This window comes from Homo sapiens, chromosome 20 (genome assembly GCF_000001405.40).
Source record: "Homo sapiens chromosome 20, GRCh38.p14 Primary Assembly".
Lineage (NCBI taxonomy): Eukaryota > Metazoa > Chordata > Mammalia > Primates > Hominidae > Homo > Homo sapiens.
In genome coordinates this window covers 43,235,739-43,244,267 of record NC_000020.11, presented here as the reverse complement: position 1 = coordinate 43,244,267, position 8,529 = coordinate 43,235,739, and positions in this window count along the sequence as shown.

Genomic DNA, 8,529 nt, shown 5'->3' with positions numbered 1-8,529 from the left:
CTCCCTCCCTCAGCCCCTGGCAACTACTAATCTGCCTTCTGTCTGCATGGATTTGTCTATTCTGGACATTTCATATTAATGGGATCATACAATATGTGCTTTTTGTGTCTGGCTTAGCATAATGTTTTCGAGGTTCATCGTGTTGTAGCATGCATTAGTATTCCATTCCTTTTTAATCTCATGCTGCACAGAGCCTGCTACCCCAGACACACAGATAAAAACTTATCCCACCCTTTTCCCTCCTTCACAAATTTACTTCCACCTGTTGAAGCCCCAGGGTCCTCTCCAAGTGGAGGAAAGTGCGGCTGGGTTGCGCCCAGGAGTGGTGATGTTTTGTTTCACTTGGAGGATGTGTGAGATTCTGGGCTCTGGGCTGGCACTAACCCTGAGCACTGCCAGGGGGCAGCATGTTCCTGTGAGCCTGCATGCCCGCCCTCAGAGGAGCCAATATTTATGAAGCTGTTGGGCTTTGAGTACATTTACCGCCTTTCCATCATGCATGTTTCAGACGTTGTGCTCCAGCCAAACAAATTGTCCAGGCTTAATTTCTGAGAAATCATTGTCAAGAATTGCTGAACCTTTAATTCTAAAGCACATATTTATACGGGGCTTCAAAACTCACATCTCTGCACACGATTACAAATGGAAGGGAGAGGAAGTTTAATCAGGAATGAGATTAGGTTTGAGCAGGGAGGGCAGTGGGGTGGCAGTGGGGATGGTGGTGGACCTGGAGTGAGAAGGCGAGTATTTGGCGAACCTGATTCAGGGGCAGCCTCCAATGAGCAGGGGCTAAGGGTCGAGACTCCCTTTGGTCTTGGACTGATGGACAAACTGGTTTGAAAAAATAATGTGTGAGAGGAGCAGAGCTTGGGATTCATGGGATGCCCAGAGTTTTGGGGGGAAGTGGCTCATTTAGCATTTGTTGTTTGGCCTCTGCCTCCTGGAGATGCTTGCCTGCCTGCAACCATCTGCCCTCGCTGCCCAGTGGGTGTCCCCTGCTCTATCCAGGTGTCTGCCCTCTGCTTAGGTTGAAGGGAGCAGGTAAGGTCACACTGGCAAAAGGCAGTTGGAGTCCCCACCCCAGATAAAAGAAGGCAGGGAGATTCTTGCTAATCGAGGCCATCTCGCCCCCTGCTCCCCTCCCCACTGTGCTAGCTCAGTGTCAGGAGGCCTGTGCATAAACTGCCTTCCCTGGGAGGTATTGGGTATGGCACAGTAAAGACAGAGCTACTCTGCCCCAGCTTCAGGATGGAGTGGATATAGGAAGAGGAGGAAGCCTTGGGCTTAGAGGCAACAGAGCTTCTAGCTAGACTTGCTGTGTGGCTGTGGCAAGTCTTGCTCCCTGTCTGGGCCTAAAGTTTCTCATCTATTAAGTGCGTATTCTGGACCCCTTCAGATTCAGAAGCAAACATGACTGAGCAGCTTTTATATGCCAGACACTTTGCTAAGATCTCTCACATCCACAATGTTTTAACTCTCAAAACCGACCCCCAGGGAGGCATTATGATCCCCATTTTACAGATGAGAAAGAAAGCAGGGGTCTTAGCAAAGGATGGCACAGGGATGACAGGAACTGTGGATCCTCACATGCCCTTCTGAGGTCATGAGGCAGTTTGCCCCTGACCCCTGGGTCCCCTGCCTGGTGCTCTCCAAGTGGGCACTACGTGGGGGGCTCTCAGTGTGCATCCTGCTCTGGGGCCACCGTGAAGCAAATTCTGGTCCTGGGGACTTGTGGCCACCTTGACTTTAAAAGGTTCATCTTAGAAAGATAATCTTTATTACAAAAGTCAGCCTTATTCACAGTGCTCCATACAAAATTATCAAACTTTTAAAGGGAAGAAAGATAAATCCACATTATATTATTTGACACAGAGGGCAGTATAGCTTTATGAACATAGTATGTCTTTTGGATTCAGAGGGTCCTCTATTCACATCTCAGCTCTATCATTTACTGATGGCATGCCCTTGGGCAGGTTATCCAACTTCTCTATGCTTGGGATACTTCCTCTGTAAAATGAGGATGATAATAATGATTTATTGGCTTGACAGGAATTTGGCAAGATAATATCAATAAATAGCAGCTTTAATGCATGTACACAAATTGGATGAAAAGCCTGAGGTTTAAACCCAATGTCAACTGAAATTCACAGTACACATTAACACCCAAGTCACTTGTAACAGCCTATCTTGGAGAGACAAGGACTGAAAATGCTGGGGATGGGTGGGTCTGGAGTTTGGCGTATGTGTAATTCATTCTGGGCATTTAAAGGCATTGGCCGTAGGAATGAAGAGTAGTCTCCCTTATTCTGCTCAGCAACCTTCAGCTTTATTTATTAAACCCTGCTTTATGTTTAATCTTTCTTTTTGTGGCGACACAGCAAAACACCATAATTTTCTAATACCATACAGTGCCAACATCTTGGAGGATTTTAGGACAGATCCTAATAGCCAGCAATCTCTGCATTATAACAGTCAGATGCAAGAATCCTTGAAAGGCACACAACTCTCTAAAGCCGAGGACTGAAGCGGTTTTTCTCTAAACATTTATTACAAATACAAGTATTATTTGTATTCAGCACAGACCAAAGAGAGGCTAAGCAGTTGGTCCTTTTTATTGCAGTTGAAATCTGGCCCGATCTGGAAACTCTTTTTAGAAGCACACACTGAATAAAGTTACCAAGATGTGTGTGAGGAGGTGTGACAGTTTCTGTTTGTAGCTTGGAGGTGTTGGGTGTGGGGGTGTGTCTGCCTGCATAGGCTAGGCACATGACTGTCCAGGGAGCCAGCAGGCTGCAGGCTTACCTCACTCTGGGCTGATGATGAAGGTGAGATTGAGAATAAAGGACACTGCAGGAATGTTTATTTTTCACTAAATATGAGGTCTCCAAGGTCAAGCCCAAATGTCAGAAAGCCGATTTCAACCAGCTTAAGTAAAAAAGAGAATTTGTGTGCTCTAGGGGTTAGGAAGTCCATGGCCTGACTTCAGGCATGGCTTGATCCAGGGGTATTTCAGGTTGGATTCACTACAAGCAGAACTTGTGATGGGGATTCTTGTGCAAGTGATTTATTGAGGAGGTGCTTTCAGCAGTAACTGCAAGGAAGTGACTTTTTATGCCAGACAGGGGAGGAGAAGAAGCTGATGAAGAATGTGTTTTCAGCTGGAGTCCAGCTTCAGCCTGGTCCCATTGGGATCTCCGGAGTAGGAATAACATCACAGTGCTGTCTCACTGCAAAGCAAGAGGATTCGCCTTTTGTACTCCCGTGTTTATCAGGCATTGGCTGGGAGCTCCCTCTGGCATGGGGAGCATAACCTTTTCAGAATTTCTGGGAAAAGTGGCTCTCTTTGGCTGAGGCAAGTCTTTAAACAAGGGTACAACTATAAGCTGTTAGCAGTTCCCAGTTGACACTTACAGATGGGTGCACTGGCCTTGTAGAGGTAGTCTGGGTGAGGTACCAACATTGTCTACACAAGGTGCTCAAGCAGTGAATCAGGAATTTATCTCTTGCCTCTTTTCTGAGGTCTACTTTTTTTTTTTTTTTTTGAGATGGAGTTTCACTCTGTCACTCAGGCTGAAGTACAATGGTGCCATCTCAGCTCACTGCAACCTCTGCCTCCCGGGTTCATGTGATTCTCCCATGAGGTCTACTTTTAAATTCCATTCTCAAATACAGATTATTACTGAAGAACCTAAGTTTAAATTTTTCATGCATCTTAGGAAAAAAAGAGATCTGATATTTCCTGGTGTCAAAATATTAAGTTTCCTAGATCAGTCCCAAACAATTTCATGCTTACTCCTCTGGTGGGGAAGGAAGTAGGTTTAACCCTAATTAAACCTCATGGGTTAGGTTCCCCACATGGGTTTATGTTTCCAGAAGAAGAAGGAGGGATGCTGAATAGGCAAAAACCAGCAGTTACCCCCTGCCAGGCTCTGAACTTTATGTCAGAAGGGCATTCTGAATGGAGGGAACAGCATATGCTTGGCTGTAGGGTGCTAGGTAGTGCCATACATTTGGGAGAGCAGAAAGTGGAGAAAGTATATGGAGTAGTTGGGAGAAAGTAGATGGAGAAGACTGAACAGTTGGCAAGGGCAGTGCACAGAGAGCTTCCTGGTCTAATAGAGGAGCACAACTTCATCCTGGAAATTGTAGGTTGGTTTGAGGTTCTTCTGATTGTATAGCATGCTCTTTGATATAATTTGGCTGTGTCCCCACCCAAATCTCATCTTGAATTCCCATGTGTTGTGGGAGGGATCTGGTGGGAGGTAATTGAATTATGGGGGTAGGTCTTTCCCGCACTGTTCCTGTGATAGTGAATGAATGAGTCTTATGAGATTTGATGGTTTGGGAAGGGGAAACCCATTTCCCTTGATTCTCATCCCCTCTTTGCCTGCTGCCATCCACGTAAGATGTGACTTGCTCCTCCTTTCCTTCCACCATTATTGTGAGTTTTCCCCAGTCATATGGAACTGTAAGTCCAATTAAACCTCTTTTTTTTTGTAAATTGCCCAGTCTCAGGTATGTCTTTATCAGCAGCGTGAAAATGGACTAATACACTCTTCCTCTTACACCATTCTTCTCCCAAGTTTCTGGTATCAAGCCACCAGTACAGCTAGAGACTGTTTGGGGCCCAAACCCAGCCAGTAGCAACCTCAAAGGGAACAAATACAGTAGCAGGGTTGCTGAGCAGTGGCCACATGAATTGGGGGGTAGGTGGACATTAATTATAACACTGGAGTCTTAGCGCATTTTGATGTTGACCAAGGCTGGGCAGTCAGTCCCAAATGGACTTGGATAAGAGTCACCTCTGTCTTAAGGGGAATCTACTATTCTATTCAGGAAAACTGAGGCAGGAAACCAGGTGTGAGGGTGAAGCCAGCACACAACAGGGAACAATAGATTACAGCTCTCTTTGGGGGAACAAGTGGTATTCCAACCCCTGTCTCCATGGGGAGCTAAAGTTGCCAAGAGTCAGGAAGGAAGATATATTAATTCAAGTTATGCTTGCTGCTATAACAAATAACTCTCATCATTTTAGTAAACTAACACAAGTATTTTCTCTTTATGGGTACCCAGTTTACTTTCATCTTGTGGCTCTACCATTCCCTAGGGTCTGAATCCAGGCAGAAGCTGAGCGAGAATGTGGAGAAAGCACATCAACTCTGTTTTGCCCAGGTGAGAAGCCTATCACTCTGTTCATATTCCATTGGTGAGAACAGGTCACATGACCTCACTTAGCTGCAAGGTTAGCTGGGAAATGTAGTTCCTGGTTGGGCTGTGTTTCTCAGAGACAACTCTATACCACAGTGGGGGGAACGTGCATTTTTGATAAGTAGCAGGCATCTCTGCCAGAGGAGCCCAGCCAGTTCCCCAATAGGGGGAGGCCTCAGTGAGCCCAACTGGAGAGTGGGAGCGTATCTTTGCTCTACCCACAAGAAATATCCTTGATACAACTCAGTGCCTGAAATGGTCTGAATGGCTTTGGGCTATTTCCAACCCAGCAGCCTGTGGACATGCACAGAGAAGATAAGGACTCAGTGAAACACGGAGCCTGGCAGAAGACATGGGAAAAATAAACAAATGCACGAAGTGACAATTTCCTGCCAGTGGGACCTGGGTTCTGGGGAAAGCTTCTGAGTACACAGGGTTTGAGATTAATCTCGTTTCCCTCCTGCAGCCTCTGCGTGTGCTCAGGCTGTGTTTGATCAGCTCAGTTTCTGTTTGGAGTCAAGGACCTTCTCCCACCCGTTTATTCCTGGCCTTCTCCTGGATCTGCAGTGAATTTGCGTGTAAGGCTGAATTCATAGCCTGAGGACATTCTCTCAGCAGCTCCTTGTAATGATCTAAATATAGACACCTCACCTCCCTGCAGAGCAGGGAGGAAGAAAGAGACTGCTTTGCAGACACCTTGCTGTGGCATCCTTTGTCTAAGGCCAGAGGATGGGGTTCAAGTCTTGGCCTCTCAATTTACTCTCTGTGTAACCTTGACAAGTCACAAGACCGTTAGTACTGTTTCTTCACCTGTAAAATGGGAACAGTTGCTCTGTTGCCATAATGAAAACAGATCATGAGTCCAAAAGAGTTTTGTAAACTGTAAAGTGCTGTACCAATGTTAGTGATAGTAGGCAGGATCTGTTGGGGGATTTAAAGCACAGGCTCTGGAGCCAGAGTGTCTGAATTTGCACAGGCTGTTGTGAGATTGAGTGAGCTAATGTATGTAAAGAGCTTAGCACACTGTCTGGCCTATCGTTCCTGCTCAGTAGACACTGGTGGCTATTACTGCTGCACGCATGCATGCCTCTGGTTTTCCATATGCTGTGTCTCTGTCCCTTCTGTTTCATCCAGCTGCAGTGGCTTTTCCCCATCTCCATGGGTGGGGTTCCTACTCATCCTTGGAGTCTCAGCAACAGGCCCACTCCTCTGGGAATCCTGCCCAGGGTGGCAGGTTGTACAAATACGGGGAGTGCTGTTCACATAGAAAATGTGAATGGCTCCTCCTGCAGTTGTGCCACATGGCAGAACAGCCTGGTATCACCGTGAGAAATCATCCTCCAGAGTCTGAAGTTCCTGTAAGTCATCTCTGTACTAAGACACTTGGGTGAATGCCTCATTTCTCTTACTGGCAGAGAGTTCTCCATGGGCAGGGAAGGTTAGCTTGGGTTATGCTTGCTGCTGTAACAAACAAGTGCCCCTCATGATGTGATGCCTTGCACCACCTCGGGGCTCTGCACCACCAGCCAGAAGGCTCTCAACAGATGCATGCCCTCAGTCTTAGACTCCTCAGCCTCCACAGCTATAAGAAATAAGTTCTATTTCTTCATAAATCACCCAATTTCAGGTATTCTGATATAAGTAATAGAAAATGGATGAATATACTCAGGCTGTGCTCTCAGGGGAACCCAAACATGTCACCTGCGTTCTCCAAATGAGGGGACTGAGATTCTGAGGGTTTATTTATCCAGGGCCACACGGCTGGTGAGAAGCTGAGCCAGGATCCAAATCCAGGGGTGTCTGATTTAATTCTGGGCTCTTTCCACCACTCTGCAAGACTATCCCACAAAAATAGTAAGCAAGCACGGAAATGTTGGGAGTAGGGTGCTAATGCTAGGGGTAAAAACTGAAATTGCTGTTCTGAAATTGCTTTCGCTTCCTTCCACAGATTCACAGATACATATGTCGAAAATAAGAGAAAAAAAGAGAGAAGGAGGGGGAGAAGGAGGGATAAGAGGGAAAGAAAAGGAGAGAAGGAGAGAGAAGGAGGGAGAGGATGAGGAGGAAAGACTCACAGAGAGCAAGAGATCACAATAGAAGCAGAAAGAGGCAGTGGAAGATGTTGTTCATTTATCCAAACCTCCCCTCATCACTCCTACTCTTTATTTTTTGAAGCAAATAAAATTAAATGCAAGTAAACCCAGCACTTCCTTTAGTTGGCCTGTCCCCACTTCCTGTCATATGAACATTTGTTTTTAGAGATGCTGTTTCCAGGCTACTTTTGGGGGGTGGCATGTGCCAGAGTTGGGGGACAGAGAATAGAAATGTACCTTCTGTGAGCTAGGTATGTGTACAAGCATTGCCTCTTAAAAATACTTTTTTTATTATAAAAATAAAAAACACAGAAGATGAAGATAATAGTACAATTAATGCCCCTCGACCCATCACTTGGCTTCACAATTACTGAGCAGAGAAAACCCTGCCTAGCATAACTCAACCATCACAACAAGCTTATCCGAGGGGTTCTATTATTACCCTATTTGGCAGAGGAGGAAACTGAGGTTCAGGGAGGACAAGCAACTTACCTTGAGTTCTCCGGGCATCTCTGGAGTCCATGCTCCTAACTACCAGGCTGCCCGAGGCTGGCTCTTCACACCTGGATACACTGTGCTATCACATCCCTGGGAGGGCTGCTGGTTGTTTCTGGACACCAGATCATATGTGAGATATTTGTGCCTTTGATCAAAATATAATCTAGGCATTGAGCAATGATACTTAAAGCATGATTCATTGATTGGTAATTTTAGCATCTCCTGGGACAAATACAGAATCTCAGGCCCCAGCTCAGACCTCCTGAGTCAGCATTTATGGGGGCGAGCCCGGACATCTGTATTTTGACAAGCCTTCCAGATGATTCTGATGCAAAGCCTAGACTCCAAGACTTTGCTTCCTTCCAGAGTGCCCTGTGGATTCCTGCTCTGCCTGCCATCCTGGGAATGGCTTCTCTCTCTTCCCTTCCCACTCTCAGTGACATACTTCATGTCTGTTTGCAAAGCCCACACCCCGTGTCCTGGGGACCACGCGAACCCTCTGGAACATTATCTTTATGACCTCGCAGTAGCTGAGCTGTGTCTGGTAAGTAGTCCTCACCCCAGTGCTCCCAGTAGATTCTGCCCTGTGCAATGCAGGCTTCTTTAGGCTGGGACTATTGACAGTCTTGAAAATCAGGCCTCCAGGCGGGTCCCCCACACTTCCATGTCACACGACTGTGATTTACATATGCAGGTGTGAGGGGCAGCACCTGTTAGAAATATACACCCG